This window comes from Homo sapiens, chromosome 5, assembly GCF_000001405.40.
Source record: "Homo sapiens chromosome 5, GRCh38.p14 Primary Assembly".
NCBI lineage: Eukaryota > Metazoa > Chordata > Mammalia > Primates > Hominidae > Homo > Homo sapiens.
Genome location: NC_000005.10, coordinates 35,882,133 through 35,897,465, shown reverse-complemented (window position 1 = coordinate 35,897,465; position 15,333 = coordinate 35,882,133).

The window sequence follows — 15,333 nt, the reverse complement described above, 5'->3', positions numbered from 1 at the left end:
TGCCCAGCTTTTGAGTGGTGCTTCTAGATCTGTGGGGAATAGTATGACTGTATATGCTGGTATTAAGGAATTGGGGAGGTTAAGAGGGAGGAGAGAGAGATGGAATTTAGAGGCTGATTCCTACTCTTTGCATCTTTGGTCTTAACTTCATTGCCTAGTATAGGAAGCACAAGTCCAACCTTAAAATATTAACACGTATCCTGGCCAAATTGAGAAGTGGGTAGAGTTGGCCTTCTAGTACCTCCTATAGGGCTGGTACCTCTCCACTCTGCCACTGAATGTCAGGCATCATGTATTTCTGGGTGCCCAAGGATTCTGGGAAGTACCCATTCTCTAGTTCTATTCCTACCTGTGTGTTTGGTGTAGACTCCCTTTCACTAAAGCACTTTTTATCTGTTCATTTATGCTATAAATTTCTACACCCTAAAATGCTAATAAGTGTAGTCTTGTGTAGTCACAAGAGTGGTTACACAATGTCCATTCTAGAGCACTGCTGTCCCACAGAACTTTCTGAAATGATGGAATTGCTCTATATCTGTGTTCTCCAATATGATGGCCACTAGCCACATACGGCTAATAGACAGTTGAAAAGTGGCTAGTGCAACTGAGAAACTGAATTTTTCATTATATTTTATGAATGCATTCATATTCATTTTATGAATGCATTCATAAAATATAAAACATGAACAGATTCATAAAATATATTATAAAATATATTCATAATATAGATTATAAAAATATATTTCATAATCTATTTTATGAATATATTCATAAAACAAAATATATATTTATAAACATGTATATTTTAATATATATTTGTAAGTATATATATTTTAATCAGTGTAAATTCAAATAGCCACATGTGGCTAGTGGCTACCATATTGGATAGTACAGTAGAGATCTAGAAATCTTAATGTACAAAGTGATGGTCACAAGGGAACTGTAGCTGGCCAGTGAGCAGGTGAATCTTTGGCTACCCTTGCACATGTCCCGTCTCAGTGAGCCACCTCAGCAGGGACAGGCAAGCCAGGCTCTCCTTGCCTAACTCGAACCTGCTTGACAGTGGCAAATGACACTCAATAGAAAATATCTTGGAGAATGTAAAATGCTCCACTATAACTCACATATTTTGACACCATTTCCTTCTTTCTTTTCTTGCCTTTTTCTTTTCTTCAGGTTTCAAAAGAAGAATTTTTGAATTATTATGCAGGTGTCAGTGCTTCTATTGACACCGATGCCTATTTCATTTTGATGATGACAAAATCTTGGAGATTATAATTTTGCCTATTAATTCTTTTGGAAATCAGGGACTCCCAGAGTGGAATAAGTCTGAAAGAATTCCAAGCTATGGATTTGGATTAGGTGTAAACTAAATTTCCTAAAGGATCTGGAATTTTAAAAGCGATAAATAGATCTTTGGTCATCTTACTTAATTATCTGGAATGTGTTCATTTTTATCAATGCCTGAGATTATATTTTTAAGTCATGAAGGAAGGAAGAAGGAAAGAAGGAGAGAGAGAGAAAGGAAGAAAGAAAACCATGAAGTGATATTGGGAAGTGGCTCCTAGGTAAAACAATCTGCTTGTTGTTATAGATATTCCTCTTATAGGTGTAAATGTAGCTGCTCCCTCACACCTTCACTTTACAGTCTTGGAACTCCATAGCAGAAGGTGATAATACCGGGATTAGAGGAACCTCTAACTGTGTAAAATGTCCTGAACTTATTTATTTTAATTTTGGTGAATACAAATAAAAGAAGATTTATTTTATTCTGAAATGTATGAGTGTTTTTCGATTTTCAGATTTGAATGTAAATTTCCACATGTGCATAAACAGGGGACATAAGTGCCTCTGGTAGGAAAAGGAAGGTGAGCTCAGCTGGCCCACTTGGTTGAAGGCTGGGCTTTCATGGCGTGGTCTCACTTATTGGTTCAACCTATTAGGAGGAAAGGAAGTGCAAGGGAAAAAGGAAGTGCCTATTGCAAACTTCAGAGGCTTTCTGGAGCTTTAGCGTAAATTGGAGAGGAGGACTTTAAACCTGTTTTGGGGAATTCATCGTTTTGAACCCACTTTTAGGCTCCTTCGCCAGACAGGTGATGTCAGGTTTTTTTGACTGATTTCTCTCCTCTATTAACTGCTTCTTAGGTAACAAAAGCAGCTCTAATTTGATTGCACACACCTATAAACCGTTCACCTTGGAAAAGGGGTAAAAGTGTGGGAAAATAGATGAAAGGTGAAAGCTGTGCTTCTCATGCTTTAATGAGCACATAGATCACTTGTTAACCTGCCCATTGCTTTTTAGAAGTCTGGGTGTGGGACTGAACTTTTGCCTCTAACAAACTTATTTTTTTTAATTTTTTTTTTGAGATGGAGTGGAGTCTTGCTCTATCACTCAGGCTGGAGTGCAGTGGCACGATCTCCGCTCACTGCAAGCTGTGCTTCCCAGGTTCACGCCATTCTCCTGCCTCAGCCTCCCGAGTAGCTGGGACTACAGGTGCTAGCCACCACGCCCGGCTAATTTTTTTTTTTTTTTTTTTTTTGTATATTTAGTAGAGACGGGGTTTCACCCTGTTAGCCAGGATGGTCTCTATCTTATCTTCTGACCTCGTGATCTACCCGCCTCAGCCTCCCAAAGTGCTGGGATTACAGGCGTGAGCCACCACGCCCAGCCAACCTCTAGCAAACTTCTCTATGATGTTGATGCCTCTGGCTTCAGATAACACTTTTGAGTAGCGAGCGGTAAAGTGATACCTGCCTGTATATTTCCAGTGTGTTTTTCTTATTATTTGCCCACCTTTGGCTGACCATAATAGTTTGTGCTTTTTGATTGCTGGGCTATCCCTTTGTCTTTAAAGTCGGGAACTTATGAAAGAAATAGAAAAAAAAAAAGTACCTCCCAGGTATGTGTATATGTGTAGGAGAGAAATGAAAAATAACATTTGCAGTTGAAGAATTTCTCATAGTCTAGGATGGAGTCCTTCCAGCATCAAAGATTCGAATCTGTCAGCCCTCCAAGAGTAGATCCACCTCTTTAAGACCTACGTTGAGTAAGCTCATAGCAATTGATGCAAAAACTAGAATGTCAAGCCACTGATCAACTATAATGAGGATATACTTCTCACGTTTCCTGATAAGATCAAAGAACTTGATCTGGATTTGAGGATGTGAGAGAATGACAGCATAGTTCTCAGTTCAGGGATGCTTTTAATAGTTTATTCTCCATACGGAGGATATACGTACAGAGGATATAAGCAGTACAGAGGATATATTCATGGTATGTTAGAATAATGCTATGTGCTATAACAAATAAATATTTCAATTTATAAAAGCTCAAACACATTATATATTTATTTTTCATTCATAAAACAGTACCTCTGTGTAGTGGTTTTCAGTTTCAGGCTTTCTCCATCTTGTGATTCCGTTGTTTTCTAGGATGTTGTAGTCACTGAGTCCATGTGACTGTAGAGGAACAGGGAGTTGAGAATGCTGAAAAGCTTGCTGAAAAGCTTTGGCCTGGAAGTGACACAGGTCACTTATGCTTGAATTTCATTTGATGGTAGCTAGTCACATGATTACAGCTAACTGTGGAGGTCGGTGAAGGGGTGGCTAAGAAATAGTCCTTGCAGGAAAACTTCTTGCCAACGAAATTGTACTTCATGGAAAGAAAGTACTATTTTGGTCAACAACTAGCTATCTCTGCCACTTGAAGTAGTAGCCTTCATTGCCTATAGTGCATGCTTGGTGATCTCAGTAGCTCATGTGGCGTGAGATATTTGTCAGTTTGGAGGAGTGCAAAACTGAAGTCTCTCCATCCTCAGCCATGTTAGCAACCAAGTAAACAACTTATATAAAGTGACAACTCTCCAATCAGAAACCCTGTCACCTGGGCCTCAAGACTTTATTCAAGGCCTTGAAATTTATGCTACAACACAGAGGCACCTCGTCCTTTATTGCCTCTATAATATGGGTCCTAGGAATTTTTAATCTATGTCCACATAAAGCCTTTCTGGGGGGAGTTGAAGCTATGTCTTATTGAGAGGTGACAGCATGCTGGCAGTCCTCAGAGCCCTCGCTTGCTCTCCGCACCTCCCCTGCCTGGGCTCCCACTTTGGTGGCATTTCAGGAGCCCTTCAGCCCCTCCACTGCACTGTGGGAGCCCCTTTCTGGGCTGGCCAAGGCTGGAGCCCACTCCCTCAGCTTGCAGGGAGGTGTGGAGGGAGAGGCACGAGCGGGAACTGGGGCTGCCTGCGGCGCTTGCGGGCCAGCTGGAGTTCCGGGTGGGCGTGGGCTTGGTGGGCCCCGCACTCAGAGCAGCCAGCCAGCCCTGCTGGCCCCGGGCAGTGGGGGACTTAGCACCCGGGCCAGTGGCTGCGGAGGGTGTACTGAGTCCCCCAGCAGTGCCGGCCCACCAGCGCTGTGCTTGATTTCTCACCGAGCCTTAGCTGCCTTCCCGTGGGGCAGGGCTCGGGACCTGCAGCCCGCCATGCCTGAACCTCCCACCTACTTCATGGGCTCCTGTGCGGCCCGAGCCTCCCCAACGAGCACCACCCCCTGCTCCACGGCGCCCAGTCCCATCTACCACCCAAGGGCTGAGGAATGCGAGCGAACGGCGCGGGACTGGCAGGCAGCTCCACCTGCAACCCCAGTGCGGGATCCACTAGGTGAAGCCAGCTGGGCTCCTGAGTCTGGTGGGGATGTGGAGAGTCTTTATGTCTAGCTCAGGGATTGTAAATACACCAATCAGCACCCTGTGTTTAGCTCAAGGTTTGTGAGTGCACCAATCGACACTCTGTATCTAGCTGCTCTGGTGGGGCCTTGGAGAACCTTTATGTCTAGCTCAGGGATTGTAAATACACCAATCGGCACTCTGTATCTAGCTCAAGGTTTGTAAACACACCAATCAGCACCCTGTGTTTAGCTCAAGGTTTGTGAATGCACCAATTGACACTCTGTATCTAGCTGCTCTGGTGGGGCCTTGGAGAACCTGTGTGTGGAAACTCTGTATCTAACTAATCTGTTGGGGACGTGGAGAACCTTTGTATCTAGCTCAGGGATTGTAAACACACCAATCAGCGCCCTGACAAAACAGGCCACTGGGCTCTACCAATCAGCAGGATGTGGGTGGGGCCAGATAAGAGAATAAAAGCAGGCTGCCGGAGCCAGCATTGGTAACCCACTGGGGTCCCCTTCCACAACGTGGAAGCTTTGTTCTTTTGCTCTTTGCAATAAATCTTGCTACTGCTCACTCTTTGGGTGCACGCTGCTTTTATGAGCTGTAACACTCACCGCGAAAGTCTGCAGCTTCACTCCTGAGCCCAGCGAGACCACGAGGCCACCGGGAAGAATGAACAACTCCAGACGCGCTGCCTTAAGAGCTGTAACACTCACTGTGAAGGTCTGCAGCTTCACTCTTGAGCCAGTGAGACCACGAACCCGCCAGAAGGAAGAAACTCCAAACACATCTGAACATCAGAAGGGATAGACTCCAGACGTGCCACCTTAAGAGCTGTAACACTCACCGCAAGGGTCCGCGGCTTCATTTTTGAAGTCAGTGAGACCAAGAACCCACCAATTCCGGACACATTATTATACAAGTCAGGACGAAGTTATTTATTCACATGGTAAATAATAACATTTTTGTTGTAGAGGCAGACCTCTTCTTGGAAGAGAAATTATAGTTATGAGGTTCTTTGGTAACTGGAATTATAACAAGGGGTATGAAGACTAAATATTTAATGAAACTAGGCAGACAGTTTAATGCATTCATCTTGCCAGTGAGACCATAACACTCTTTTCCCGAAATTCCTAGAGGGGACTAATAAACATGTCCTCCCTGACCTTTCTTTTTCAGCATGTCATAGCTGAGTAACTACTTGTGGGAGGGACACTTTAGATTCATTGATTATACATGTTATTGAAATCAGTATGTTACCAGTGCAAGGTAGCCTAGTTACCCGTGGCGAATCCATAGGGGTATGTAGCAATTTCAGTTCTTGCCTCCTCAGAAGGTGGAACTCAACTGAGGGGCATAAGGCAAAAAGATACCAAGGCAATTGTCAGAGCAGGAGTGGAAGTTTATTTAGAAAGTCTTTAGAACAGGAAAGAAAGGAAAGTTCACTTGGAAGAGATCCAAGTGGGCACCTGAAGGTCAAGTACCGTGTTTAACCTTGATCCTAGGACTTTGCAGGCTGGCCTCTTTCCCATGATTCTTCCCTTAGGATGAGCTGCCCGCATAAACAGTGCCCTCCTTACCCTTGGGAGGTGAGCACGCATAGTGTGTTTAGGAGTTGTATGCATGCCCATCTGAGGCTTTCTTCCCTTTTCTGGTGGTGTGCCCCTGGAAGGTCATACTCCACCATTTTGTCTCTTACTGTGCATGCCCAGGAAGTTCCTTCTCCTTGGTTTCTGCATTCAATTAACACTTTAGAGCAACAGGTGTAGACCATCAGGAAATGGCCTCTCCCTGATGCCGGCTCTCAATTTATCACTTTCAAAAAGAAAATGTGATAATTGCCAAAACATCACCTGATGTTTCTACTGGGTGGGGGAGAGCCCTCTCCTGCCCCACTCCTGCTTGTCAAACTACCTGTAACAACTCAGGATCTGGCCTGTCTTGCCTGCCTGGGGGTGATGTTTATCTCCTTACAGTGCTTTTATATACCTCTTGCTATGGTTGGAATGTTTGTTTCCCCACAACACTTAATATGATGAACTCCTAACCTCCAAGGTGATAGTATTAAGAGGTGGGGCCTTTTAGCATGTGATTAGGTGATGAGGGCAGAGCTCTCATTAATAGGATTAGTACAGGTTGTAGGAACCTGTACTTCTTACTAGCTGGTTGTAAATTCAAGACTGCAATATAGAAACCCTGCCAGAGTTTCCACCTTGCCTGGCATGCTCTGCAGAATTTGGACTCAAAACTGCAACATTAGCTCTTACCTGAATTTCCAGCTGGCCAACTTGCTCTACGGATCTCAGACTTGCCAGCCGTCACAATCATGTGGCCAATTTGTTAAAATAAGTATCTCTCTCTCCCCACTGATACACACACACTATGGATTATACTTCTCTACAGAACACTGACTAATGCAGAAGAAGTATGGATAGCCTGCGGACCCCCAAAGTAAGAGGAAAGTTTCTAAAGTAAAAATAGTCTTGTTGAGTATTATTTCCTTTAACTTGTAAGAGTGTTGCTAACTCTGGGTGGTGAGTGCCAGGATTGAATTGCAGTACACTTAGCTGGGGCTGAAATAGAATAACAAGCTCAATCACTGTTTACAAAACTGGCTCATATTTCAAGGTCCTATTCAAAAGTTAAAGCCTTTACAAAGCTTTCCTCGACCTTTCAGCAAAATTGACTTGCTCTTTCATTTCTGTGCCTCTTTTGCTAAGTGTATATGCATCTTTATATCACAGTCCATTAGTCAGATGTGTAAGAAATACTACTTTATTTTCTCCGACATTCAAATTTTGCAGTCTTGTCCCATTCAAGCTTGCTGGCAGAAATGTAGGCTGTCTTTCTTGGGATTTCCACTTAAGCCTGTGCTGTTGTTCTTGGATATGAAGCAGAGCCAATGCAGAAGGAGTGGGAAGTGTGTAACCTGAGTTCACACAGGTCATCCTTCTTTTCAGAGTCCCTTAAGTCCACTGAATTTTGGGAACTTCTCTACCACACCTGGAAAACGGCAACTTTGAAAAGCTGCCAGTGGGATAGGTGAAGAGCTGTTTTGAGATATCTGTGGTCCATCTAAGTGAGAAATCCAATAGGCAGTTGGATGTTCATTCATTGAACCAATATATATATATTTATTGATCGAATATTAGGTGCTACCAGTGAGTACTTCTTTAAGTGCTGGGGATCTAGCCTTGAACATATAAATATAGCACACTTCTTCATGGAAGTTCAATCTAGCAGACATGATTCTGAAGTTTACATCTGGAAACTTGGAAACAATGGAAAATGTTGACGTTAAAAAGCCAATTAACAGAACAATAGAAGCAAAGAAACAAGAGAGATCAAATGACTGATGAAGCAAGGTTCTGGAGGAAGAGAGACGGATAGAGATAGAGTTAAGGGCATTGAATGGTTGGTTTGGTCTTCTACAGATGAAGGGTTAGCTTGTTCTTAGACTAGGGGAATAGCAGGCAGGAATTTATCCAGTTTTGAGTTTGCAGATGGAGATAGGAAATGAGAGCAAAAACATGAGTTATGGTCTACATTTTTTCAAAGTATAGGCAAACTTATTTTCTGGGAATGAGAAAGGCCAAGGTTCAATGGAAGACTTAGAGTAAAAGGTGAGTGTATTTGACAATGGTTATCGAGGGCATTGGAAAAGAATGCTGTCAAGCACAAATAAAGGAAAACAAATTTATATGGGCCCCGTTTGGCAGCATTATGTGATTTTTCACTAAGACAGTTTAGCAGATAAAGTGCAGAAGCAGAGATGTGACTTGTAGGAACATGTTGTATCATCTTGTTCCATAGCATTTGTCACTGCAATTTGTATAATAAGAAGGCCTTGATAAACTGTGATGAAATTTATTAATTACTTAAAATACTGAAGGATAAGAAATCTTGAAATATACTGTTGTACTATCCACATCACAAGGGAGAAATCAGATTATGACTCTAGAATAGAAAATCTTGCTATCAAGGTTATTATAGTCTAGATTTTACAGAAAAAATGAGAATAATAATTCTAAGTAAGAGTTATATTAATACATAATTTATACTTTTATTTTGTATAATAATATATACATACATATATGTATGTATACATATGTATACTCCCATATATATGTATATATGTATGTATACATATGTATGCATACATGTATACTCCCATATATGTATGTATACATATGAATGTATATATGTATACATATGTATGTATATATATGCATGTATACATATATACACATCTATATACTACCCCCCTCAAAAAAAAAGAAGACAAAAGAAATAAGAGGAAGTTTCCTGCTTTCATGCATCCACCACCATCCCATTCTTTTCCCCAATAACCACTGAAAACATTTTGGAGCACTGCCTTCCAAACTTTTTTCTAAGCATATTCTCATTCTAATATTCCCTCTTTTTCTCTCTAATTAAAAAAAAAAAAAACCCTCGTTCTGATGATAGACATTCTTGTTTTCTTCTCCAACATTCTCAGTTTCTTCCTTCTTTGTCACCCCTATTTTGACCAGGTACCCATCTCATTCTCAGTTCTGGAAAAGGTGAGCCATTTCCAAGCCAATAAGTTCATGGCATTTTCCTAGTGACTGTTATTGGCCCAAAGATATGCATATGATTTCAACTGGATCAATCATATAAAAGGGAAAACCTTCCATTTCACACTGAAGAGAACAGTATTTTTTTAATGTTAACAATTTCAGTAAGAAATGATTATAATTTTGCTATTAGATTAACAGATCCATGTATATTGAAGTCCTCGCATGACCCAAATACTTTTTCTTCCCTAAAGTTTCTCAATACACATATAGACAAAACTTATTTCACAAAGTAATGGAAAGCATGTGGCTGTAGTCTTGCTGCAATATGGATGAGATAGGAAGAGCTTCCTCAAATAGGGAGGTGACATTTGTGTCTTTCTGTAAATGTAACCTAAGCTGTCCTCATGTATGACTGTAAGATATTGCATTAATGGCTTGACTCTTCACTCTTTCTCCTATCCACCTATTTTACCATGTGATTTTAAGTTTCTACCCAAGGGGAAATATATTTCTTCACTCCTTGATTCTGGGTTTGGTCATGTGATCTTCTTTGCCAATAAAATGAAGTGGAATTGATGGGTAGGCCAGCCTTGCATTTTTCTGCTTGCCCTCTTATGCCCCTGCTGTAAAAAGAGGCAGCTGGGTTAGCCTGCTTGTCTCTGGAGAAAGACGGGAAACTTATGGAACAGAGGCATTCCCAGCTGAACCCAGCTAACTTTCCTTCAGTTTCAGATCCCTGAGTCATCCTAGCTGTTAGTAATATCATAGAATCACCCAGCAGAGCCCAATCTAGATCATTCAACACAATTTGTGAGAATAAATGTTGCTTAAAGCCGCTGAGTTTTGGCATGATTTGTTGTTGAGCATCAATGTAGCAATAGCTGATAGATACACCGCACATTTCGGATTTTTCATGGAAATGATAGGGGGAAGGAGTAAGAGAAAGATGGAGACTTTTGGAGAGTTTTATCTTGCTAGAAGCTTTTGACAAAATAACATAGACATTTTTCTTTATCAGCATATGTAGCACTACCGTGCTAGTTTTACAATGCTGGTAATTTCTTTACTAAATTTTAAAAAGTCACAACCAAAAGAAAAGATAAAAAGAAACTGGAAAAACATAGTAACATTATGACAAGCAAAGTTCTGTTATCCTTAACACCCGAAGTGTTATAATTCAGCAAGCAAAAGATGAAGAGTCTAAGAAGGAAATTTTTTTTTACATTAAAAGAATTTTTTAATGGCTTTGTTAGTATTCCATAATATGAATATACTATAATTTATTTAGATTTAGAATTCTTAGTTACAAGAAATAATATATAGATATTTTATACATAGAATTTCTAGGTATACACATTAAAATTTTTGTTATATATTTCCAAATTGTCCTAATTTACATTCCTATTAACAGTATATGATAAAGCCCATTTTCCTATGCCCTTCTCAGCACTGAAATTTAGTGATCTTTATAATTTTCACAATTTAATGGGCAAAGCATTTATCTCATTCATTTTATCAGCATTGTTTATTCAGAATGAGATTACGCACATTTTCCTATTTTTAAAGTTTGTTTTATTTCTCCTGTGAGCCTTCTGTTAATGTGCTGTGTTCATTTCCTTCTTGGGCTCTTCATCTTTTGCTTGCTGACTTGTAAGACTCTGGGGTCTTATAAGGATAACAGAAGTTTGCTTGTCATAGTGTTACTGTCTTTCTCCAGTCTATTTTTATCTTTCTTTTGGTTGTGACTTTTTAAAATTTAGTAAAGAAATTACCAGCATTCTAAATTTTATCTAGTCAAACATATCAATCTTTTCCTTTTATGGCTTTTAGGTTTTACGTTTTATCTAGAAACGCTTTTTGCATCCAAAAAATATGAAATGATTGATCCATGTATTCTAGCATTTGTTTTTATTTTAAAAATTATTTATATCTTTGAGTTATGTGGAATTTATTTTGAAATAAGAAGTCAGTTACCTTTCTTCATTTGCAAATGGCTAGTGTGTTATTCCAATCTTATTTGCTAAATAATCCACTTTAACCCTACTGATTAGAAATGGATGAATTTTTTGTAATTACATAGATCTGGACTTGCAGATTCTCTGTTTTATACCATTGATAGTTCTGTGAATTCCTGCTGAATCAAATTTTAAAACCACGTGAATGGTTAGTTGCTTCACAATTCTTTTCTTCTCTGGAATTGTGCAGGCTATTCTCCAACATTTATTTCTCTGCAAGATATTTAGAATAATAGTGTATGCACAGAAGAGCATCTGGAAGCCTAAATGTCACTTATTAAATGTGACTATTCCTGAAGAGTGTGATTAGAAAGTGACATCTTCAACTTGATACATTACATGTCTATCTTTTTTTAATTTGAGGACACAACCAAATAATAGTTTAGTTGTAAAGATTCCATAAGAATTAAAAAAAATAAACATGAGAATATTGTAAGCGGAGACCTTAATAAAGTATCTGTGTCTTGTAGTGTGTTTTCTACTTGATTCTCTTGTGTTTTCCATATATACAATAATTTTATCTGCCAATAATGACGATTTAATTTTCTCCTATTCAATATTTATGCTTTTTACTGTGTTTTCTTGTTTAATTGAATTTCTTAGAATTTCTAAAACCATGTTAAATGAAGTGACAATAGAATTTCTTTTGTCTTATCCTTCAATATAATGGAGTACTTTTAAAATTTCACCACTGAGCATGACCCTAGCTTATCTGCTCTTATTTTATTAAAATTTTTTATTTGAGAAAATAAAGCTTTAAGCATCATTCAGTTCTACACTGGCAACTTCACACTTGAACTTCACACTGTGAAATTCATGAAAGTTTATAATTATGTAGCAAACAGGTTTATCAGTCTGACACTATAGCATTTACTGAAGCTCTAATTAAATTAATGCTTTCTTAGGCTCTAAAAGTAATATTTCAGTCTATCAGTGGATAAGCTTAATAATAAAATGTTTTCTGATTATTCTGCATAGTTTTTGTGTCATGACTAGTGCAGTTCATACTTTGCAGGAACTAATTTATCATAAAAAGAGGGTCCTTTTCAGTCTCTGTAAGTTTTCCACCTCTTCTTGATGAAAAATCTTTACTTAGGGTAAAGGCAAATTGGTTCTAACAATTTACCATTGAGAGGCCCTCCAGATGAACTCAAGTGTTTCAGCACAATTCAGTATGTAAGCCTTATTTTTCAATCCTCAGGGGCTTTGCATATTGTTTGCTTCACTACTTTTACCTGAGTCTTGAGGAGCATGAATGTGTTCCTTGGACCTCATAGGTTTTGTGCATCACACTTTCTTTGTCTGAACAGCTGTGTCATTGCAAGCTACACACAAATGCCCACACAAATGCCACAAGCCATTAAAATTCAGAAATTAGGGTAGAATTTCATATGAATCTAAAATTAAATAACTGAAAAAACACAATTAAATATCTGTATTTATTAGATAAATGAAGTTTTGGAAAATTTTCTTTTCACTTCACCCCACCCTATTGTTTCCCCACTTCTGTGGTTACAGTGGTTAAGAGTACAGCTGCAAAGACAACTGTGTATGGGGAATGCAACCGACTTCTCACACATGGCTGCCCAGATGTGCTGCTCTCTCAGGGATGTGGTGCTTGCTTCTGTCTGAACAACCTGGCTTGGCATTCTTTTATCTTTAACAGTGATGAGGAAAGAAGTTGACCAACACAACATCATTTCCTAAATGTTTATTCATTCTTTGATTCATTCATTCATGTTTATGAGGGAATGCCTACTAAATTTTAGGTACTGTGTTTAGCAAGAGATGTAAGCCCCAGTAAGTCATAGTTCTCTGTGCCAGAATGCTTACAAGCCCCCAGAAGAGTCAGACAAATCAAGTAATTACAGATCAGTGTGGTGACAGTAGAAATAAGTGAAGTGCTATTAGGAATGCACCCATGAGTCATATCCTGGCCTGTAAGAGGATGTATTCCCAGAAGAGGCAATGCCTGAGGCTAGTCTTGAGGGACTGGTATGAACTACCCAGACAATGGGGGTAGCAAGTGTAAAGGCTGGCAATTGAGACCACAGGCTGAGAGTGGTGGCAAAAGGTGAAGAAAAAAGGTAGGCTGAAAAATCCCTGTCCCTGACAAAGTGTCCCACATCCTAATAATGAAAACATATAAATATGTTACTTCAATGGCCAAAGGGACTTTGTAGATGTGATTATATTAAGATCTCCAGATGGAGAGATTAGCCTTGATTATGCAGGTGGACCCAGTGTAATCACAAGGAATCTTATAAGGCAAGAGGGTCAATATGAGAGAAGGCACTGTCATGATAGAAACAGGGGATGAAATAGTCCACTTCAAAGATAGAGGAAGGGGCTAGGGTTGTGGGATAGGGAATACAGGTGGCCTCTGGTGGATGAAAAAAGCTGGAAAACGGATTCTCCCTGCAGTCTTCAGAAGTATCACAGCCCTGTTGACACCTGGATTTTTGCCCCAGAAGACTGATTTTGGACTTCTGATGCCTGATCTGCAGGAGAATAAATAAATTTGTATTGTTTTAAGCCACTAAGTTTGTGATAATTTATTACAGGAGCCACAAGAAAGTAATACACTAGATCATCAAGAGCCTTCCATGCTGTGTTAGTTCGTTCTTGCATTACTATAAATAAATGCCTGGGACTGGATAATTTATAAAGAAAAGAGGCTTAGTTGGATCATGGTTCTGCAGGGCTTACAGGAAGCATGGTGCTAAGATCTGCTTGGCTTCTGAGGAGGCCTCAGGAAACTTACAATCATGGTGGAATGCAAAGGGGGAGCAGGCACATCACATGGTGAAAGCAGGAGCAAGGGTGGGAGGAGGTGCCACACACTTTTAAAACAACCAGGTCTTGTGAGATCTCACTCACTCTTGAGAGGACAGCACCAAGGGGATGGTGCTCTCACCAGGGTCCACCTCCAATACTGGGGATTATATTTTATCATGAGATTTGGATGGGGACAAGAATCCAAGCTATGTCACGTGCCATGCTGGAAAGCCACTAAGGGATTTTAGTTAGGGAGGTAGCTTGATCAGATTTCCTCTTTAGAAAGATACTCGCAGTGGGGGTGGGGGATAGGTCATATGACAGCCAGACTAGGGCAGGGTCAGATGGACTTTTGTGACTGCTGTACACACTTAGGGGACACCACAACCAGGTCAAAGGTGAGTCTGAGACTAAGACCAAGTGGTTCTTTGTGCCATCTTTCTCTGTCAGAATAGCTCTTCCTTTTCTTCCTCCCTTCCATCTACCAGTACTTACTAAATATTTGTTTTATTCCAAGAATAATATAGGAAGTGGAACTTGCATGGAACTTGAATTTTAGAATCAGAGAGAGGCAATAAGAACAATCATCAAAAATAAATTATTAATAATTAGTAATGAATTAGTGATTAATAATTGGTAGTTAATATTGAGGAAGGAGTTTTGGAGGAAATAAACAGGGAGGCATGATAGAGACTATCAGGAGGAGGGTCTTGTTTTCATTAGAATGACCACTTCTGTGGAGGTTACGTAGAAGCTAGGACCTGGATAATAAGAAGGAGCCAGCCACACAAAGATCCAGAGAAACCACGTTTCAGATGGAGAGAGCGGCAAGAGCAAAGGCCTTGGGACAGGCAGGCTGGCTGATTCCATATTATAAGATGTTGTGGAGGTGGAGGAAAAGGATAAAAGCCCTTCACTCAAGCTCTAGCTTATCTAACTCTCAGCCAATCAGTAAGAAGACACCCAGAAAGCTATTAACTGCAAGCTTCTCTTTCCAGGGCCTAGGGATTTCCCTGGAGCCCCACAAGTTCTACTATCTATGTTCTTGTTGGAATGAAACAGATATTCAGATATTTAGTAACTAGTAAGTACTGGTAGATGGAAGGGTGGCAGAAAAGAAGGAAGAGCTTTTCTGACAAGGAGATAAAGGTGGCACAAAGACCAACTTGGCCTTAGCCTCAGGCTCACCTTGGACCTGATGTGGCATCCCCTAAGCGGGCATAGAGGTCACAAAAGTCCATCTGTCCTGGCTCTAGTCTAGCTGTCATATGACCTATTCTCTTCCTTCACCAGGGGGATCATTCTAAAG